Here is a 20,860-nt window from a genome sequence, read left to right as displayed (position 1 = left end):
GACAGAATTTTGCCATGTTGACCGAGCTGGTCTTGAACTCTTGACCTCAGGTGATCCGCCCTCATTGGCCTTTCAAAGTGCTGGGATTACAAGCATGAGCCACCACACCCACCCAGTGCTGTTATTTTTTAGTGGTGGTGGTGGTGGTTTTTTTTTTTTTTCCCAAACATTTTCTGCTTAAACAATATGATCCTGAATGACCAGTGAGTCAGTGAAGAGATTAAGAAGGAAATTGAACATTTTCTTCAAATAATTCTGGGTAGCGCTGTACACAGCAAATGTCTGGGGTCGTCTTTCTGAGTTCTTTTTTCAGATGTTCAGCCTCAGGGAGCTTTCTGGCAGGAAAATGAGACAAGATCTACCTTTTGGCCAGGCACGGTGGCTCACACCTGTAATCCCAGGACTTTGGGAGGATGAGGCAGGCGGATCACTTGAGGTCAGGAGTTCAAGACCAGCCTGGCCAACATGGTGAAACCCTGTCTCTACTAAAAATACAAAAATTAGCCAGGCTTGGTGGTGGGTGCCTGTAATCCCAGCTACTCGGGAGGCTGAGGCAGGAGAATCACTTGGACCCGGGAGGCGGAGGTTGCAGTGAGGCGAGGTCACACCATTGCACTCCAGCCTGGGCAACGGAGTGAAACGCCGTCTCAAAAAAAAAAAAAAAAATCTATCTTTCTCCAAAGCCAGCAATACAGTGATGTTCCAGCATCTCATGACCCAATGACCCATCACATGGGGTTTGACTGCTTCCCAGGGTGAATGCAGGCAGTCCTGAGGCTGACAGTACATTTATCCAGCTGACCAAGCAGCTCATTCCCATATACCATTGAAAAGCCAGCCGGGTGCCGTGGCTCACACCTATATATCTCAGCACTTTGGGAGGCTGAGGCAGGCAGATCACCTGAGGTCAGGAGTTCAAGATCAGCCTGGCCAACATAGTGAAACCTCGTCTCTACTAAAAATACAAAAATTAGCCAGGTGTGGTGGCGGGCGCCTGTAATTTCAGCTACTGGGGAGGCTGAGGCAGGAGAATTGCTTGAACCCGGGAGGCGGAGGTTGCCAGTGCTCATTTATTTTTACATAAACACACTCTTTGAGGCTGAAGTAAATCTGACTGATTTTCAATGTGAAAATAATATATAAAAACTGTACTTGGAGTTATTTCTAAACAGAACTAACATCAGAATCATCTATTTTGGAAAAATCTGATTCATCAGATGAATCTTCGGCTAACAACATTTTCTACGATTTGACATTTTCGGCAATTCAGAATTACTATTTTTTTGTCAATGGAAATACCACTACTAAGAAAGGAATGCTCTAAATAGAGTGATGTCTTTTGTTTCCAAAGTCGATATACTAGAGCGATGAAAAAATAATAAAAGGAAGATACTTCATGGCAAAGTTATCTCGGGGTAAACACTGCAGCCACAAGCACCACCAGCGTATTCTCAGGGCAAAGGTACCAGTAACCTGCTTGTTGGTTCAAAGGTCCAGCATCTTCGCTCTGAAGCCCAAGAATGACTTGAAGACAAGGAAGCCATGTTTCTGCTCAACTCCAGGCTGAAGTTACAGGTCTGAGGAAAGAACAAGGTGCATATAAATGGAACCCATGTCTTGGAGGACATCAGAAAGGGAACTGTCAAGTCCTTTCTTGTACAACCTAACTGTTCAAGTTAGCACACCATCATTTTAGTATTTTAGTCTTCCTAGTGGAGCTGCTTTTTTTTTTTTTTTGGTGAGATGAAGTCTCACCCTTATTGCCCAGGCTGCTGGAGTACAGTGGCATGATCTCGGCTCGCCACAACCTCCACCTCCTGGGTTCAAGCAATTATCCTGCCTCAGCCTCCCCAGTAGCTGAGATTACAGGCACCCGCCACCATGCCTGGCTAATTTTTGTATTTTTAGTAGAGACGGGGGTTTCACCATATTGGCCAGGCTGGTCTCTTGGCCAGGCTGGTCTCGAACTCCTGACCTCATGATCCGCCTGCCTTGGCCCCTTGGTGAAGGGGTGGCCTGCCCCTCCATATCTGTGGGTATTTCTAGTTGGGTGGGACGAGAGACTGAGAAAAGAACTAAGACACAGAGACAAAGTATAGAGAAACAATAGTGGGCCCAGGGGACCGGCGCTCAGCACACCAAGGACCTGCACTGGCCTCTGAGTTCCCTCAGTTTTTATTGATTATTATTTTCATTATTTCAGCAAAAAGGAATGCAGTAGGAGAGCAGGGTGATAATAAGGAGAAGGTCAGCAAAAAACGTGAGCAAAAGAATCTATGTCATAATTAAGTTCAAGGGAAGGTACTATGCCTGGATGTGCACGTAGGCCAGATTTATGTTTCTCTCCGCCCAAACATCTCAGTGGAGTAAAGAATAACAAGGCAGCATTGCTGCCAACATGTCTCGCCTCCCGCCATAGGGCGGTTCTTCTCCGATCTCAGAATTGAACAAATGTACAATCAGGTTTTATACCGAGACATTCAGTTCCCAGGGGCAGGCAGGAGACAGTGGCCTTCCTCTATCTCAACTGCAAGAGGCTTTCCTCTTTTACTAATCCACCTCAGCACAGACCCTTTACGGGTGTTGGGCTGGGGGACGGTCAGGTCTTTCTCATCCCACGAGGCCATATTTCAGACTATCACATGGGGAGAAACCTTGGACAATACCCGGCTTTCCAGGGCAGAGGTCCCTGCGGCTTTCCGCAGTGCATTGTGCCCCTGGTTTATTGAGACTAGAGAATGGCGATGACTTTTACCAAGCATACTGCCTGTAAGCATTTTGTTAACAAGGCACGTCCTGCACAGCCCTAGGTCCCTTTTAAACCTTGATTTTATACAACACATGTTTTTGTGAGCTCCAGATTGGATCAAAGTGGTTGGGTCAAAGTGGCTGGGGCAAAGCTACAAATTAACAACATCTCAGCAAAGCAATTGTTTAAAGTACAGGTCTTTTTCAAAATGGAGTCTCTTATGTCTTCCCTTTCTACGTAGACACAGTGACAGTCTGATCTCTCTTTTCCCTACACTTGGCCTCCCAAAGTGCTGGGATTACAGGCGTGAGCCACCGCACCCAGCCTTATTTATTTATTTATTTATTTTATTTATTTATTTAGAGACAGAGTCTCGCTCTGTCACCCAGGCTGCAGTGCAGTGGCACAATCTCGGCTCACTGCAACCTCCACCTCCCAGGTTAAAGCGATTCTCCTGCCTCAGCCTCCCGAGTATCTGGTATTACAGGCGTGTACCACCATGCCCAGCTAATTTTTGTATTTTTAGTAGAGACGAGGTTTCACCATGTTGGCCAGGCTGGTCCTGAACTCCTGACCTCAGGTGATTCACCTGCCTCAGCCTCCCAAAGTGCTGAGATTACAGGCGTGAGCCACCGTGCCTGGCCCCTATTTTATTTTTTTGAGACAGGGCCTTGCTCTGCTGCCCAGGCTGGAGTGCAGTGGTGTGATCATAGCTCACTGCAGCCTTGACCTCCTGGGCTCAAGTGATCCTCCCACCTCAGCCTCCCAAGTATCTGGGACCACAGGTGTGCACCACCACATGCTGCTAATTTTTGTATTTTTGGTAGAGATAAGGTCTTCCTGTGTTGTCCAGGCTGGTCTCGAACTCCTGGGCTCAAGTGATACTCCCGCCTGGGCCTTCCAAATTACTGGGATTACAGGTGTGAGCCACTGAGCCCAGCCTGGGTGATGTTTTAGCTGTACCTTAAACAACTTTAGCAGATGTGGATTAAGACACTAGGAGCCAATGAGACTTGGCAATTAATGGCTGGGCGTGGTGACTCACGCCTGTAATCCCAGCACTTTAGGAGGCCGAGGCAGGTGGATCATTTGAGGCCAGGAGTTCAAGACCAGCCTGGCCAACATGGTGAAACCCCGTCTCTACTAAAAATACAGAAATTAGCCGGCCAGTAGTGGCACATGCCTGTAATCCCAGCTGCTGAGGAGGCTGAGGCAGGAGAATCGCTTGAGCCTGGGAGGCAGAGGTTGCAGTGAGCTGTGACTGCGCCACTGCACTCCAGCCTGGGCAACACAATGAGACCCTCTCTCCAAAAAGAAAGAAAAAAATCGTGAAAAATGAGGCAATGCAGTTATGTGTTGGCTGTGTCAGGTCAGGTTTCTGCATTTTATCACCCCCTTCCTGCACAGGAATCTTCAACATGGTTTCTGTGGAGTCTAGCTGCCCTTTATTTATTTGTGTAAATATATATATATATATATATATATATATATATATATATGCAGGGTCTCACTTTGTTGCCCAGGCTGGTCTCAAGTTCCTGGCTTCAAGCAATCCTCCCACCTCAGCCTCCCAAAGTCCTAGGATTACAGGCGTGATTCACTATGCCCACCTCAGCCTCCCAAAGTCCTAGGATTACAGGCGTGATTCACTATGCCCACCTCAGCCTCCCAAAGTCCTAGGATTACAGGCGTGATTCACTATGCCCACCTTAGCTGCCCTTTCTTGGACGATCAGGCCCAGAGCTGAACCTCAGAGGCACCGCGCATCAATCCCCAGTTGAGTAGCCTGTAGCTGCCCCGCTTGTTGCCAGTTGTTGAGCATGAACTCCCTGCGACTGCTGATAAGTCCCCTTTATCTGCGCTCCTCTCTATACACAGCCACCTTTTGTTCCCATAACAAGCCTTCAGGTCTCCACATTTGCACATCTCAAATTCTGTGTTCCACGTAGGTGGCTCATTCAGGGCCCTTCTCAAGCCACTTTCTAAAAGTGTCAACCAGTCACTGTTAACTGATGCTTCTGTATTGGTGGAAATGAAATATCTATTGATTTCCGTGCATGGTGGCACATGCCTGTAATCCTAGCACTTTGGGAGGCCGAGGCAGGCGGATCACCTGAGGTCAGGAGTTCGAGACCAGCCTAGCCAACTAGTGAAACCCCATCTCTACTAAAAATACAAAAAAATTAGCCGGGTATGGTGACAGACGCCTGTAGTTCCAGCTTCTCGGGAGGCTGATGCAGGAGAATCACTTGAACCCGGGAAGCAGGAGTTGCAGTGAGCCGAGATCACGCAACTGCACTCCAGCCTGGGCAACAGAGTGAGATTCTGACTCAAAAAAAAAAAAAAAAAGAAAAGAAAAGAGAAAAAGAAATATCTATTGATAGAATTTTTAAAAGAACTCTATATTTCTATGGACATATATATGAGCCCATAAAAGTAATACATGGCCGGGCACAGTAGCTCACGCCTGTAATCCCAGCACTTTGGGAGGCCAAGGCCGGCAGAACACGAGCTCAGGAGTTTGAAACGAGCCTGGCCAGCATGTTGAAACCCCGTCTCTACTAAAAATATAAAAATTAGCTGGGTATGATGGCAGGCACCTGTAATCCCAGCTACTTAGGAGACTGAGGCAGGAGAATTGCTTGAACCTGGTAGGCAGAGGTTGCAATGAGCCAAGATTGAGCCACTGCACTCCAGCCTGGAGACAGAGCAAGACTCTGTCTCGGGGGAAAAAAAAAAAAAAGTAATATACACACACACAAAAAGATAGTAGTGATGGTTGTACAACATTGTGAATGTAACTGATGCCACAGGATCGTATACTTAAAATGATTTGGATGGCAAATGTTATGTTATATATGTCTTACCCCAATACAAAAGTACATCTATAAATATATAGTATTATTTTGGGTGTGCTCCTCTCTGTATAGAGGTTATCCCGTGGTGTGTGTCTGTAACTTGATTTTTTCCAATTCTGCCCTCAGTTTCCTGCTCTTTCCGGGCCTCAGGAGGCTTGACATCCCTTTGACCACAGCACTGAAAGGTGTTCTCTTTGCTGAGAACTCAGTGTCTTCTGCCTGGCAGAGGCTTCGGCCCTCTATTTTTGTTTCTATCCCTTATGCATTCTCCCCGGCAGGTGCCCCTCCCAGCTTTAAGTGTATGTATACTCTGGATTTTTCCGTCTTCAGAACAGTGCTCAAAAATACCTGGGGTGTCCTTCTAACAGAAAGTGCAGAGACGTCTGCTGCAGGATTGCCCACCCCCATTTTGTAACATCTGCTATTTGAGAACTGCTGAAGCTGCCCTGATCTATGAGGGCTGACCTGGAAGAACAGATGACTGTGAGTGTACCCCAGGACGTTGGCCTGGATGGTGACAGACCATGTGCTCTAGTCACCGTGCTGGCCAGACCCCCACAGGAATCCAAACCATCCCAGAGAAAATAAGGGACTTTTGCAAGGCTGCCCCAGGAAGCACGGAAGACGTGGAACTGAATCCCAGGCCTCTGGCCCATCACCCACGTGGTGTCCCCAAGGAAGGGAGAGTTGTCTCGGAATGCTCAGGGGGACTCATTAAAGCAACACTTTCATAAATGCCTGCTCTGAACAACATGTAAATATTGTCTTTGAAAAACACCGGCTGGCAGCTCAAGGGTGTGAGTAACCTGGAGCTTCTTCGACTGGGCCCCCCTGAGGAGGGCATGGAGCCCAAGATTCGTTACCATAATTACTTGAGAGGCTGTCAAATTCCATGACAAAACGCAAATGCAAAGCCCTGGCCCCAGCAGCAGGCAGCTGAAAGGGACCTTGACCCTGTTGAGTACTCCAGTATAGAAGCTGCTGGATTCTAACCAGGGCTCTCCCATGCCCGGCTCTATAAACTTTCTCTATATTTTGCATTGTTTCCCTAAGGGTAGGAGATTCCCGTAAGTTGGGTCAAAGGGCAGGGAGGTTTCCGTGGTTCTCATTGGGCCCTGCTGCTGCTCTCCAGACAGATGATGGATCAGCTGTCAGGGTGGCCCCGGCCATGCCAGCGCAGTAGGTGGTCAGGGCGCACTTGGGGCAGCCGGCAGGGCAGAAGGGACGGGAGCTTGACCCGTGTTCTCATGGGCAGAGGGAGCCCGGGCAGTGTTGGGGGCAGCGTGCGGGCAGGCGCGGAGGGGAGATAGCCAGGCAGTCAGGGAGAATTGGGGTGACTGGAGAAAGGCCGAAGGGCCGCGTCTGCCTGCGGCCGGAGACCACCCCAGGTCCATACAGCCAGCTGGGTGCCGGGCACCATTTGGAGCCGCTGGGAAAGCCAAGCACCGCTCTTTCTGGAGCCTTCTTTTTTCCTATTGTTAGGGAATTCACGACGTCACACTTGTTTTCAAGTGAAAATAAGAGTTGTGTAGGACGCGAAAGTCACGTGACTTGAAAGCTGAACCTGAGAGGCCTCAAAATAAATTCTGGTTTGCTGTGAAAGCCTCGGGTTATAGCGCTAAACTCCCCCCTCCACTGCCCCCGAAAGTTGTATTCTCCTCTGCTTTTAGGGTGGGGTGTGGCGTAAACAACACAGCTTGAGCAGCTCTGAGGAGGAGGGTGTTAGAGACCAGGCAGGCGGAGCAGGCAAGAGTTTTCAAGGATGTCGAAATAGTTTGAGACGCCCCGTCCCATTATAAAAGTGATAACGAGAGACAGCAGGAACGCGCTTCTGGACAGAAAACAGACCCTAAGGAAAGGCAGCCAGAGGCTCACGCTGGATCCTGCGGTCTTCCCTATCTGCGCCTCTGTACCTCCCTTGCCTTTACAAAGCGCATGGATCAACTTTGGAACAGGTTCTAATTCTGCCCCAGATCCATCTGCGTCTTCCCACGACTCACAAATCTGACCTCAGGGTGCAAGCGCAGCCCCAGCCCTCTAAGCCTGGGTAGGCAGGGCTCTCCCACCCGAGAAAGGGCCGAGGGGAGACTTCCGGGGCGGGACCGACGTGGGCCCCTCCCACTCGGCGGCCGGTGGGTTCAGCCTGAACGCACTGCGGAGGTGGGGCCGACGAGGGATCCAGGGGCGGGACAGGTTCGGGGCGGGACAGGTTCAGGCCCCTCCCATGCGGCGGCCAGCGCGAGCGGTAGAGGCGGGTCTGGAGGCGGGGCCTGCGTGGAGCCAGACGGCGCAGCTGCTGCCGGGGGCGGGGCCGGCGGGCTGTGGCCCCGCCCTTAGCCGCCATTGCCGGGCCTGCCTGGCCACCCTGCGCAGCGGCCTTGCGTCCTCTCCCGGGGCGGAGCGGGTCGGCGGGCCTGACAGGGAACCTCCCTGACCGAGCCCACGTCTCCCCACGGCCAGAGAAATCTCCGGCCCGGCCCGCATCGCCAGCCCCCAGGCCCGGAGGAACGGCCCGAGCCCAGGAGAACCACATCTTCGTCCCAGCCCCGGAGGCTCCTGTGGGCAAGATCGTGAGCCAACGGGTTCCTGAGGCCCCTCCTGGCCAGGCAGGGTTTCCCCGCGCGTTTCCGAGGAGCCCTGCCTGGCCGGGCGGCTGGACAAACAGGTCGTAGCACCGATCGCGCCCGCCCCCAGCAGGGGTCCCGCACAGGCTTGCCCCTGACCCCCACCCAAACCTGTCCTTCCGCTTTGCCCCCAAACAGTGCACTTGCCGGCGGTCCCAACCCAGCAGGAGAAGTGGACATGAGGTTGGCAGGTGGGTGGCTTCCACAGCGAACGGGAGGGAGTTGAAAAGGGCACCTGGCTGGAGGCCCAGCGTCGCGACATCTGTGTCTGGAGAGGCCCGGGTGAACCACTGGGTTTGGTTTTGGAAATGGAGGACTCTGCACAAACACTCGTTCCTTGACCTTAACCAAATCCTTTCACCTCTGAGGACGTCAGCTCCCCGAGCTATGACATGAGGATTAGTATAGTCAGTATCTCCCAACGCAGGTAGCAGACCAGCTGCTTTTTGGAAAATGAGTGGTGAGAGAGAGGAGGTGGGCAGTCCAGGTGGAGAGGCGTGGTCTTAGAGGGGAAGTGACAAAAGTGGCTGTGGGCTTCGACATGAACCCGATGACAGCCCTACTGTCACCTGGACAAGTAAGATGAAGATCCTTGGGGAGGGATAGGTTGGGGCTGGGTGGAGAGTAGAAACAACTCGGGAATTGGACTTCAGACTTGCTAAGGTGGTAACTTTGTGGACATATCCAGGTGGAGCTGGCCACTGAGGAACCAGCTGGCAGGGAGTGGTTTCAAGAGAGGCCACGGCTGGAACTAGAAAATAGAAAGTCATTGACACATGGTGCTTAATTAAAGAGCTAGGAGTAGATGACATCATCTAAAAACACACTACAGGCCGGGCGCGGTGGCTCACGCCTGTAATCCTAGCACTTTGGGAGGCCGAGGTGGGAGGATCACTTGAAGTCAGGAGTTCGAGACCAGCCTGGCCAACATGGTGAATCCTCATCTCTACTAAAAAAATACAAAAAAATGAGCCTGGCGTGGTGGCGGGTGCCTGTAATCCCAGCTACCCGGGAGGCTGAGGTTGCAGTGAGCCGAGATTGCGCCACCGCATAACTCCAGCCTGGGCGACAGAGCGAGACTCCGTCTCAAAAAAGTAAAGACAGCTGGGCGCAGTGGCTCACGCCTGTAATCTCAACACTTTGGGAGGCCAAGGCGGGTGGATCACCTGAGGTCAAGAGTTCGAGACCAGTCTGGCCAAGATGGTGAAACCCCGTCTCTACTAAAAATACAAAAATTAGCCAGGCATGGCCGGGTGCGGTGGCTCACACCTGTAATCCCAGCACTTTGGGAGGCCGAGGCGGGCGGATCACGAGGTCTGGAGATCAAGACCATCCTGGCTAACATGGTGAAACCCCGTCTTTACTAAAAATACAAAAAAATTAGCCGGGCGTGGTGGCGGGCGCCTGTAGTCCCAGCTACCAGGGAGGCTGAGGCAGGAGAATGGCGTGTAACCGGGAGGCGGAGCTTGCAGTGAGCCAAGATCACGCCACTGCACTTCAGTCTGGGCAACAGAGCAAGACTCTGTCTCAAAAAAAAAAATTAGCCAGGCACGGTGGTGCGCGCCTGTAATCCCAGCTACTTGGGAGGCTGAGGCAGGAGAATCGCTTGAACCCAGGAGGCGGAGGTTGCAGTGAGCCGACATCGCGCCATTGCACTCCAGCCTGGGGGGCAAGAGCAAGACTCCGTCTCAAAAATAAAAAAAATAAAAAGACACTACAGGTAGGGACCAGAAGGCAGCCTGAGATGGGAGCCTGGGAAAGTCCAGCTTTTAAGGGGAGGGTAGAGGAGACGATCTAACTAAGGAGAATGAGGAGTGTCCAGAGAGATTGGGTCAGGAGAGTGTGCTGTCCGGAAAGCCAGCAGAGAAGTTAGTGCTTCTGTCAGGTGGACATGGGCAGCCCACTGAGAGGTCAAGGAAGATCAAGGCTGACAGGTCACCAGGGGTGGTGACACCACAAAGGTCATCAGTGGCCTTGGCAACAAGCTGATTTGGTGAGGTGGTGGAAGCCAGGCCAGACTGGAGTAGGGTGGGAGGGAGTAGGAGGTGAGATGATGGAATGAGTATAGATGACTTTTGAGGGGGTTGACAGGGAAAAGAAAGGTTAGGGGAAAGAGGATGGGGATGTGGTTTTGAAGAAGAGTGTTTTCTTTGCTTCCTTAACATTGGAGATGTTGAAAATACAGGAGAAAGAGCGAACTAGAGAGAGTGATCACTATTACAAGAAATCAGAGAAGGCTGGGGAGCTTGCAATCCAGGTCCCAGCAGATGACGGGACTGTTGTTGTTTTGGTTTTGTTTTGTTTTGTTTTTGTTTTTGTTTTGAGGCAGAGTCTCACTCTGTCGCCAGGCTGGAGTGCAGTGGCATGGTCTCAGCTAACTGCAACCTCCGCCACCCAGGTTCAACTGATTCTCCTGCTTCAGCCTCCTGAGTAGCTGGGATTACAGGTGCGCGCCACCATGCCCGGCTAATTTTTGTATTTTCTGTAGAGGCAGGGTTTCACCATCTTTGTCAGGCTGGTCTCGAACACCTGACCTCATGATCTACCCGCCTCGGCCTCCTAAAGTTCTGGGATTACAGGCGTGAGCCACTGCGCCCGGCCGGGACTGGTCTTAAAAGGGAGTAGGGACCCTTCTCCCTCAGAACAGGAGGAAAGCAGGGGCAGGTGGATGCCCAAATATATTGGTGGTTTCAGAGGCAGGAAGTTGAGGGGGTTCTTGGAAAGAGGGCTGGAGCCCTTCTCGAGCAGAGAGTTCTGGAAGGCCCCCTCCCAGACCCGCCAGGGAAAACCAAACCCAGCAGCCTTGGGATTTGAACTCAATTTCCTCCTTCCACCTGCCAGGGAGCTCAAGTCTCCCTTTCAGCCCTGGTAGAAGGCAACAGGTCTCCACCTCCTTGTCCTCCAGCCACTTCTTCCCAAGTGGCAGGGGAGATCCAGTCATGCAAGGCTATGGGGTCATTCTGGGGTTCGCTGGTATCTGAGGTGACCCCACCCTGTGTCTATCCTGCCTCCAGGCCCTCTCCGCATTGTGGTCCTAGTCGTCAGTGTGGGTGTCACATGGATCGTGGTCAGCATCCTCCTGGGTGGGCCTGGCAGTGGCTTTCCTCGCATCCAGCAACTCTTCACCAGTGAGTGTGGGACCCCGCCTTATCCTTCTCTGGAGGCCACCAAGGTGGCCACCTGGGCCTGTGGTTGAGGCTCTGGGTTGGGAGTTGACTTGGGTTTTCTATCTCCTCCCTGGCAGGCTACCTTTGGCTGTCCCCAGTCTGTCTCCTGGCATCAGGCGCAGCCTCCCCCAACACCCAGTTGCTTCATCTAGGAAAGCCAATACCTGATCACTAGAATTATATGCCCAACTGGAGTCAGTAGGGCCAGAGTAAGGGGTAGGGAGCTTCCACTGAACATGGGGAGTGATGCCCCGGTTGCTCCCTGCAGGCTCTGAGATGGAGAGGGGACTCTCCACCTTGTTGACTGGTAATAGGTCACCTGAGTACTTTTTTGTTTGTTTGTTTGAGACAGTGTCTCACTTTGTCTCCCAGGCTGGAGTGCAGTGGTGCAATCTCGGTTCACTGCAACCTCTACCTCCTGGGTTCAAGCGATTCTAGTGCCCCAGCCTCCCGAGTAGCTGAGACTACAGGTGCGCACCACCAAACCCGGCTTCTTCTTCTTCTTCTTCTTCTTCTTATTATTATTATTATTATTATTATTATTATTATTATTATTGTATTTTTAGTAGAGATGGGGTTTCACCATGTTGCCCAGGCTGGTCTCAAACTCCTGGGCTCAAGCAATCTACCCGCCTCAGCCTCCCAAAGTGCTACAGGCATGAGCCACTATGCCCGGCCAGGTCATCTAAGTAGTTTTTCTAATTCCATTTCCCCCTGTTCCTAGAGTAGGGAGTTTTTCATCTGAACATGACTTACACTTGAGCAGGAAGCATGCCAAGGTCGGCCTGGCTTAGCCCCCGGCCCCTGAGCCTGACTGCCTGTGTCTACACTTCGCGGTGTAAGGAGGGCCAGGCTGCCCTGCCGCAGGCCCCGGGAGGCTCCACACTAACAGAAACCACTCTGTATCCACAGGTCCAGAGAGCTCGGTGACTGCAGGTAAGGCCCCTGTCACCTCCCTGCTCCTCCCCTTTGTGACATCCCTGCCTGCCCCCGGTCCCGTAGGGCTTCGGTTTTCCATTTATTCCTCCCCAAACCAGCTGTGGTGGTCCACGGGGGCTGCTTGCCACTGTCAACCTACAAAACAAGTTACTTCCTGCCAAGTTACTTCCTGCCAGAATATGACGGTGGGGCAGGCCTAGGATAGATACTCCCACTGCAAAAGGGCAACTTGGAAGGAAAAAAGAGGTCACCCGTCCCAAGCAAGTCCAAAGCCCAGCAGGGCAAAATTCATTTGGTTTCAAGGCCTGAGGGGAATCCTCTGTGGCCTGAGATTCTTTCTTCTGGGCCTGCTGGAATGACCCATGCTCTGAAACGAGACAGCCCCACCTTCGGGGCCACCCTTCCTTCCCTTTATCTCATCTCTGCCCCCTTCACTCCAGGCCGGCAGTGTTTCTGCTGGTGTCAGATTCTCAAGAGCCTTGTTGGTCTCTTTTGCAAGTTATAGAGGCCCAAGCTATAAAATCAGAGAGTTTTCCCACAGACGCTTCCTAGATAACCCCATCTTCATTGTAGATTTCTGCTGAAAGGGTTGAGTGGACCCACGAGTCACATACCTCAGCTCTGGGGCAAACGCTTGAACAGCCTTGCTGTTCTGTCCAGGGGACACTTTTGCAGTTTTTGTAATATGATTAGGCCAAGAATTTTCCACATCTTCGCTTTCTGGCTCCTTTGTGCTCAACAGTTTCTTCCTTATGTCTCTCACATTTTACTATAAGCAGCAAGGAGAAGTCAGGCTACGCTCTCAACACTGCTTGGAAATCTCCTCAGCTGAATATCCAAGTTCAGCACCCAGCACTTACACATTCTCCTTTCGACAAAACACTAGAACACAATTCAACCAAGTTTTTTTTTTTTTTTGAGACGGAGTCTTGCTCTGTCACCCAGGCTGGAGTGCAGTGGAGCCATCTTGGCTCACTGCAACCTCCGCCTCCCGGGTTCAAGCGATTCTCCCACCTCAGCCTCCTGATTAGCTGGGATTACAGGCACCTGCCACCATACCCAACTAATTTTCATATTTAGTAGAGATGGGGTTTCACCGTGTTGGTCAGGCTGGTCTCGAATTCCTGACCTCAAGTGATCCTCCCGCCTTGGCCCCGCAAAGTGCTGGGATTATAGGCGTGAGCCACCACACCTGGGCCAAGTTCCTTTATAACAAGGATCAGCTTTCCTCCAGCGCCCAATAACTCAATAACATGTCCCTCATTTTCCTCTGAGGCTTAACCAAAAGCACCTTTTTTTTTTTTTTTTTTTTTTGGTAGAGACAGAGGTCTTACTCTGTTGCTCAGGCTGGAGTTCAGTGGTATCATCCCCGTGCACTGTAAGCTCAAACTCCTGGGCTCAAGCGATCCTCTCACCTCAGTCTCCCAAGTAGCTGCGACTACAGGCATGTGCCACCACACCCAGCTAATGTTTTATTTTTTATTATTTATTTTTTGAATGTATTGAGACAGGGTCTTGCTCTCTCACCCAGGCTGGAGGGCAGTGGCGCAATCATAGCTCAAGTGATTCTCCTGCCTCAGCCTCCTGAGTAGCTGGGATTACAGGCATGTACCACCACACCCAGCTTATTTTGTATTTTTTGTAGAGACGGGGTCTCACTATGTTGCCCAGGCTGGTCTTGATCACCTGGCCTCAAGTGATGCTCCTGCCTTGGCCTCCCAAGGTGCTGGGATCACATGCGTGAATCACCACACCCAACCCAAAAGCACCTTTAACATTCATGTTTCTAGCAACGTTCTGTTCTTGATGATATTTGTATTCTCTAAGACCACAGAGGCTGTCTCTATTGCTCTCCCCTCCTCTCACCAGAATTACCTTTAACATCCATACTCCTACCAACAGTCTCTTAAAGGCAATCCAGACCTTTTCTAACATGTACCTCAAACTTCTATAGCCTTGATATGGTTTAAATGTCATCTCTAAAACTCATGTTGAAATTTGTCAATGTATTGGTATTGAGAGGAGGGCCTTTTTGAGGTAGTTACGTCATGAGGGCTCTGCCCTCATGAATGGATGAATGCCACTATTATGGGTGAGTTAGTTACCTTGAAGTTCAGCCCCCTTTTTTCCTGCGTCTCATATGCTTGCTTCCACCTTCCACCTTTCTGCCACGGGATGACCCTCACCAGATGCCGGCGCCATGCTTTTGGACTTCCCAGCCTCCAGAACCATGAGCCAAATGAATCTGTTGTCTTTATAAATTACCCAGTCTGTGGTATTCTGTTATGGCAGCAGCAAATGGACTAAGACAAGCCTCTACTGACTACCCAGTTCCAAAGCCATTTCCACATTTTTAGGTATTTGTTACCTAAGCACCACACTTCCTGGTGCCAAAACCTGTATCCATTTCCTGGAACTGCCATTTCAACTGGGTGGCTTAAACAACAGAAATGGATTCTCTCCCCATTCTGAAAGCCAGAAGTCTGAAATCAAAGTGTCAGCAGGGCGTTACTCACCCTGAAAGTTCTACAGGAGGGTCCTTCCTGACCTCCCCAGGTTCCAGTGGCCCCAGGCATACCTTGGCCTCTGGCTGTGTCACTCCTGTCTCTTCCTCCACTGTACCATGGCTGTCTTCCCTCTGTGTGTCTTTGTCACTTCTGTTCTTATAAGGACATCAGTCATGTTGCATTAAGGACCCAACCTACTCCAGTATGACCCCATCTGAACTGCAAAGGCCCTATTTGCAAACATCACATTCTGAAGTACCACAGATTAGAACTTCAGCATACCTTGAGGGGACAGAATTCAACCCATAATAGAAGCCATCCTGCTCCAGTCCTCCCAACCAACCCCCATCAAAATCGGGAGACAGGCTGCACCCCCTGCCACACTACCCCCTGCCACACTGCCTTTGCTCAGGTTGGCCTCATCCATGCAGCTAGACCCCCAGCCTGACTTACTTCACCCCTGCTTTGTTCCTGGCTGTGCAGTGGCCCAGGCCAGCCCTCAGCATCCTTTCTTTTCTCCCACCAGTAACAGAAAATCCTTCTGTCTTGGGTCCCTGTGGCCTCACCAGTAGGACACAGAGTATGGAAGTGTCCCCAGCCTCGGCCTGAGCCACATCCCCCTACTTGTGTCCTGCTCTGCGGTCACTTGTTCTACCATGTGTGCTGGTCCTGACCTCCCCTTCAGATCTCAGGTGACCTCAGGGCCAGGCCCATGGATAACACCTGCTATCCCTGCCCAGCGCCACGGGCCAGGAAGTACAAGTGTGGCCTGCCCCAGCCGTGTCCTGAGGAGCACCTGGCCTTCCGCGTGGTCAGCGGGGCCGCCAACGTCATTGGGCCCAAGATCTGCCTCGAGGACAAGATGTGAGCTCCCTGGGGTGACTGGGGATCAGGGAGGGAGTGGGGGATCCAGGGCCGGGTCTGCAAGGGAGAGTGGAGCAGACGTGCCCATGTGGGATCTCCCCGTCCCCCCCACCCCCCCCCAACTAGGCTGATGAGCAGCGTCAAGGACAACGTGGGCCGCGGGCTGAACATCGCCCTGGTGAACGGTGAGGCCCCTGGCTGAGCGTGGCCTGCCGCCCTCCTTCCCTGCTCCCTCCCCAGGAGGCCTCTGGGTGTTTGCCCTCCCTTCCCCTCCCATTCAAGATCTCCCAGGGAGGCCTGGGAAGGAGTCTGTGCAAGCGCAAGGCTCCACAGAGGAGTGACCCAATGAACAAAAAAGCATGATGGCAATAAAGAACTAGGGAAGGTTCTGGGAGGTTGAGGGTGCTTCATGGAGAGCCCCCGGAGGGCCTCAAATGCCAGACAGAGGCACCACGGCTTGGGGTGGGATGCAGCTGCCTGAACAAATGGATGAATATTGGGGGACTGTTTGAAAGCTTCCAGAAGGGCTGCCCCCCACCCCCGGTGCTACCCGCCTGCCGTGCCCTGAGGCTGGCCTGGCTTACCCAGCAGGGCCCCTCCCTCCTGACACAGGGGTCAGCGGCGAGCTCATCGAGGCCCGGGCCTTTGACATGTGGGCCGGAGGTGAGTTGCAGCGCAGCGTCTTGCATTTTGACTGCAGCAAAATGACCTGGGCAGCTTCCCCTGAGACACTGCTCTCTCTGTCTGTACTTGGAGCTTCTCAGTCACCTCCGTGGGTTCAGAAAGGACAGGGGCATCGCCAGCTTGGTCTGGAGGCTGTGGGAGGTCACGGGGATGCCTCAGCTTCCTACACCAGCCTGTCCCTTGGCGGGGCATGTCCCAGGCCCAATCCCTACTTCTGTTTCCTTGTTTGGAGAACGGGCTTGTGGGAGGGTGCTCAGTGGTGCCTGATGACCCCTGTTCCGTGGCACCTGCCCCCCCAGATGTCAACGACCTGTTGAAGTTTATTCGGCCACTGCACGAAGGCACCCTGGTGTTCGTGGCATCCTACGACGACCCAGCCACCAAGTAGGTGCTTGGGGAGGCCAGCCTCAGCCTTGCCCTTCTGCAGCAACAGCTGACACCCCTTCCTCCCATGCTGCAGGATGAATGAAGAGACCAGAAAGCTCTTCAGTGAGCTGGGCAGCAGGAACGCCAAGGAGCTGGCCTTCCGGGACAGCTGGGTGTTTGTCGGGGCCAAGGGTGTGCAGAACAAGAGCCCCTTTGAGCAGGTATGGGGGGTGCCTGGCATCACCCCCACCGGGGCAGCCTGTCGCCCCTTCTGCCTGCATGCGACGAGCCTCCCCAGCTGCTCACGCCCCAGCAGGGGACCGTCCCCAGTCCAGCTATGAGGGGTGGGCCAGTGCAGCTGATGCCATGTTTCCCTGGGATGGGTGGAGGGGCCAAGTGCCCTGAGAGTACACCGTTGGCCAACACAGCACAGTTGACTGACAGCCTGGGTCCTGGTCCACTCCTGTCCCCTGTCCCTGAGGGCCAAAGTCATGACTTTCTGCTCCCCTCCCCACAGCACGTGAAGAACAGTAAGCACAGCAACAAGTACGAAGGCTGGCCCGAGGCGCTGGAGATGGAAGGCTGTATCCCGCGGAGAAGCACGGCCAGCTAGCACGGCCAGTGCCAGGACCGGGCCGAGGGAGGCCAGACCAAGGGAGGCACGCGCGCTGCCGGGCGGACAGAGGCTGAGGCTCACACCCCACACCCGGGCAGGAGCGCTCCCTGGCCCCAACACATCGGGGCTCCGAGGCAGTGACCAGAACGTGGTCTCAAGGTGGTGGGGGCTATGGGGGCTGCAGGGGGTAGCCCTGCCGCACTTTGTCACGGGAGCCCAGGGTACCCGCCTCCTTTTCGTAACACTGTTCCCCCCGGTCAGCCCATCTAGCCCTGTCCTCCATTCCTCACGCCATCTCCATCCCCATCTTGAGTCCTGGAACGGCCCTGGGTGCCTGCCCCTCACTGTGCATCTCTGGGAGCAGCCCGGCAGGTTGGGGCGTCTTCCAGAACCTCTCCCTTCTGGAGCCACTCTGCACTGCGGGCTAAACATGTTTCCAGTGTGATTCCTTCCAGTGAGCCAAACCCGGTGGCTGCTTCATGAGCCTGACTGCCTCTCGCCTGCTCTCAGCAGGAAGGGACCCCTGGAGCAGGCTGGCCCGGGGTGGTGAAGTAGCTGGAGCCCGATCACAGTCCCGCGGTTTGTCAGGGGGCCCACCTTCTAGATGACCCCTTAATAAAGTGATGGCCCCACAGAAGAAATGCCTTCAGATGCTGTTGTCAGTGCGGAGTCAGAGGTGGCGGTGTCCTCTGGGGTGCGGGAGGACAGATTCCAGAGTCTTAACCAACCTGCTCCCACAGCCCGAGCAGACAGCCTTTTGTCTCCAGGGCTCCTGCCACCAACAGGCCCCGCTGCGACTGAGATGTGACTCAAGCAGTCAACAGAGCAGTGGGACTCTTTTCGTCTGGCAGAGAAGATTGCACACTCGGGCTGCAGGAAGCTGACTCAACAACTCCCTCTGACCCAGTGCAGGCCTGTACGGACAGGGACAGGGATTGGGATTAACACCAGCCCAGGCCCCCACCACACCCCATCATCATCCAGGAGCACATGTCGCCCACAGACTTCGGCTGCCTTTGAAGTCAGGGTTGTGAGGGGTCGAGTCACTTGGGCTTTTTGCGTCTCTCCCAGGTTACGGTTAATACCTCCCTTTGCTAAGCGAGAGCCAGCAAATTAGAAGCAATTTTGCTGGAATATCAACTCCAGAGGCCCAGAAGCAGTCTGAGTTCAGCGAAAGGAGAGAAGGCAGTTCCTAGATGGGAGGCACTGTGGTGTCCTTCATGGGGCGACGTTAGGGGCGATGGACTTAGGAGCCAATCCCAGGAAGAGTACAGAGCGCAGACAGAGCCTCAGAAGACAAAAGTGCTTCTGGAGCAGGCACATGTGGGGTTGGAGGCACAGGGGTGCCCTGGAGGAGCGGCTCACCAGGGAGGAAACGATGGTGATGCCAGTCCTGCCTCTGCACCAGGAACTTTCTACGTGTATTCCATTCCTTTTTTGTTTTTGTAAACTTTCCTTCTTAGAGCCATTTTAGGTTCACAGCAAAACTGAGTGAAAAGGTCAGAGTTCCTGTGTGCCCCCTGCCAGCCCCCAGCTTCCCATCTGTTGCTGTCAATGAACCAGTATCGGTGCTCACATGAGGCTTCAGTTTGCTGTTGGACGTTCAGTGGGTTTGGACAAAAATGTGTAATGATGGATCCACTGCAGGATCATACACACTTCACTCTTTAGACTTGCTATGGAAAATTGCAAACATCTCCAGGAGACAGACTAGCATACAATCGGCCCTTCATATCCATGGGGGTTCCATGTCCACAGATTCAACCAACCACAGATTGGAAATACTTGGAAAAAATAAAAATACAAGAATAAAAAATAGTACAAGTAAAAAACAATACAGTGGCCGGGCGTGGTGGCTCACGCCTATAATCCCAGCACTTTGGGAGGCCAAGGCAGGTGGATCACGAGGTCAGGAGATCGAGACCATCCTGGCTAACATGGTGAAACCTCGTCTCTACTAAGAAATACAAAAAATTAGCCGGGCGTGGTGGCGGGCGCCTGTAGTCCCAGCTACTCGGGAGGCTGAGGCAGGAGAATGGCGTGAACCCGGGAGGCGGAGCTTGCAGTGAGCTGAGATCACATGACTGCACTCCAGCCTGGGTGACAGAGCGTGACTCCCGTCTCAAAAAAAAAAAAAATTAGCCAGGCGTGGTGGCGGGCGCCTATAATCCCAGCTACTTGGGAGGCCGAGGCAGGAGAATCACTTGAACTCAGGAGGCAGAAGTTGCAGTGAGCCAAGATTGTGCCATTGCACTCCAGCCTGGGCAACAAAAGCAAAACTTCGTCTTAAAAAAAAAAAAAAAAATACAGTGTAGGCTGGCACGGTGGCTCATGCCCTATAACCCAGCCTTCGGGAGGCCAAAGTGGGCAGATCACTTGAGCCCAAGCATTCAAGACCAGCCTAGGCAAAATAGCGAGACCCCATCTCTACAAAAAAATAAAATTAGCCAGTCGTGGTGACACACATCTGTAGTCCCAGCTACTTGAGAGACTGAGACAGGATTACTTGAGCCCAGGAGGTCAAGGATGCAGTGAGCCAAGATCACACCACTGCACTTCAGCCTGGGCAACAGAGTGAGATCCTATCAAAAAAAAAACACACACACACAATACAGTGTAATTGTTATTTGCAGAGCATTTACATTGTATTAAGCATGATAAATAATCTCAAGATGGTTTAGATTCTATGGGACCAGGCTTGGTGGCTCATGTCTGTAATCCCAGCACTTACGGAGGTTGAAGCAGGCAGATTGCTGCAGTCCAGGAGGTTGAGGCTGCAGTGAGCCGTGATTGTGCCACTGCACTCCAGCCAGGGTGACAGAGCGAGACTTTGTCTCAAAAAAAAAAAAAAAAAAAAATCAGGCCGCGCACGGTGGCTCACACCTGTAATCCCAGCACTTTGGGAGACCGAGGTGGGCAGATAATCTGAAGTCGGGAGTTTCAGACCAGCCTAGCCAACATGGTAAAACCCTGTCTCTACTAAAAACACAAAAATTAGCCAGGCGTGCTGGCGCATGCCTGTGATCCCAGCTACTCGGGAGGCTGAGGCAGAATCACTTGAACCTGGGAGGTGGAGGTTGCAGTGAGCCGAGATCACGCCACTGCACTCCAGCCTGGACGACAGAGTGACACACCGTCTCAAAAAAAAAGAAAAAAGGGCTGGGCGCACAGTGGCTCACGCCTGTAATCCCAGCACTTTGAGAGGCCGAGGTGGGCGGATCACAAGGTCAGGAGATCAAGAGGTCAGGAGATCAAGACCATCCTGGCTAACACGGTGAAACCCCGTCTCTACTAAAAATACGAAAAATTAGCTGAGCATGGTGGCGGGCGCCTGTAGTCCCAGTTACTCGGGAGGCTGAAGCAGGAGAATCGCTTGAACCCGGGAGGCGGAGCTTACAGTGAGCTGAGATTGCACCACTGCCCTCCAGCCTGGGTGACAGAGCGAGACTCCATCTCAAAAGAAAAAAAAATCTATGGGAATAAATA

General features: G+C 52.6%; 1 protein-coding gene and 1 long non-coding RNA gene across 13 annotated transcripts, besides 5 other annotated features; one reads left to right on the top strand and one right to left on the bottom strand.

Moving 5' to 3' along the window:
- Nucleotides 1–1,052: 1,052 nt before the first annotated feature.
- On the bottom strand, nucleotides 1,053–8,702 carry LOC124905229 (uncharacterized). The gene is made up of 2 exons (XR_007068357.1): nucleotides 8,467–8,702; nucleotides 1,053–1,577 (listed from the first exon to the last, which is right to left on the bottom strand). It is a non-coding gene; the product is annotated as an uncharacterized LOC124905229 (long non-coding RNA).
- Nucleotides 7,304–7,460: a silencer, noted in NCBI's record as "fragment chrX:153745046-153745202 (GRCh37/hg19 assembly coordinates)". NCBI's record gives its function as "represses an EF-1alpha promoter that drives an FKBP-Casp9 reporter gene in an ReSE screen in HepG2 liver carcinoma cells {active_cell/tissue: HepG2}" and the evidence as "EXISTENCE:reporter gene assay evidence [ECO:0000049][PMID:32094911]".
- Nucleotides 7,436–8,058: an enhancer, noted in NCBI's record as "H3K27ac hESC enhancer chrX:153744448-153745070 (GRCh37/hg19 assembly coordinates)". NCBI's record gives its function as "activates a minimal SCP1, AML or CMV promoter by ChIP-STARR-seq in primed H9 embryonic stem cells {active_cell/tissue: H9 hESC(primed)}" and the evidence as "EXISTENCE:reporter gene assay evidence [ECO:0000049][PMID:30033119]".
- Nucleotides 7,436–8,085: a biological region, named in NCBI's record as "H3K27ac hESC enhancer GRCh37_chrX:153744448-153745070".
- Nucleotides 7,676–8,085: a silencer, noted in NCBI's record as "silent region_21113". NCBI's record gives its function as "represses an Ori minimal core promoter by ATAC-STARR-seq in GM12878 lymphoblastoid cells {active_cell/tissue: GM12878}" and the evidence as "EXISTENCE:reporter gene assay evidence [ECO:0000049][PMID:35858748]".
- FAM3A (FAM3 metabolism regulating signaling molecule A) lies at nucleotides 7,950–18,011 on the top strand. Of its 12 annotated transcripts, none has more exons than NM_001282312.2 (10): nucleotides 7,950–8,213; nucleotides 8,370–8,422; nucleotides 11,246–11,359; nucleotides 12,311–12,334; nucleotides 15,585–15,708; nucleotides 15,835–15,893; nucleotides 16,321–16,371; nucleotides 16,692–16,776; nucleotides 16,853–16,979; nucleotides 17,276–18,011. In NM_001282312.2, exons 2-10 carry the CDS (start codon nucleotides 8,410–8,412, stop codon nucleotides 17,369–17,371), a joined length of 693 nt encoding a protein of 230 aa, NP_001269241.1. In that variant the 5' UTR covers nucleotides 7,950–8,213; nucleotides 8,370–8,409; the 3' UTR covers nucleotides 17,372–18,011. The 12 variants fall into 12 exon arrangements, with proteins under 12 accessions (NP_001269241.1, NP_001164603.1, NP_001350751.1 ...); NM_001171132.3 differs by having other exon boundaries at nucleotides 7,950–8,272; NM_001363822.2 differs by having other exon boundaries at nucleotides 7,950–8,272; nucleotides 16,300–16,371.
- Nucleotides 8,059–8,682: an enhancer, noted in NCBI's record as "H3K27ac hESC enhancer chrX:153743824-153744447 (GRCh37/hg19 assembly coordinates)". NCBI's record gives its function as "activates a minimal SCP1, AML or CMV promoter by ChIP-STARR-seq in primed H9 embryonic stem cells {active_cell/tissue: H9 hESC(primed)}" and the evidence as "EXISTENCE:reporter gene assay evidence [ECO:0000049][PMID:30033119]".

The sequence above is a fragment of the Homo sapiens genome, chromosome X (genome assembly GCF_000001405.40).
Source record: "Homo sapiens chromosome X, GRCh38.p14 Primary Assembly".
In the NCBI taxonomy this organism is placed as follows: domain Eukaryota; kingdom Metazoa; phylum Chordata; class Mammalia; order Primates; family Hominidae; genus Homo; species Homo sapiens.
The sequence above is the reverse complement of the archived record's forward strand: the minus strand, read 5'-3'. Positions and strand labels throughout refer to the sequence as shown.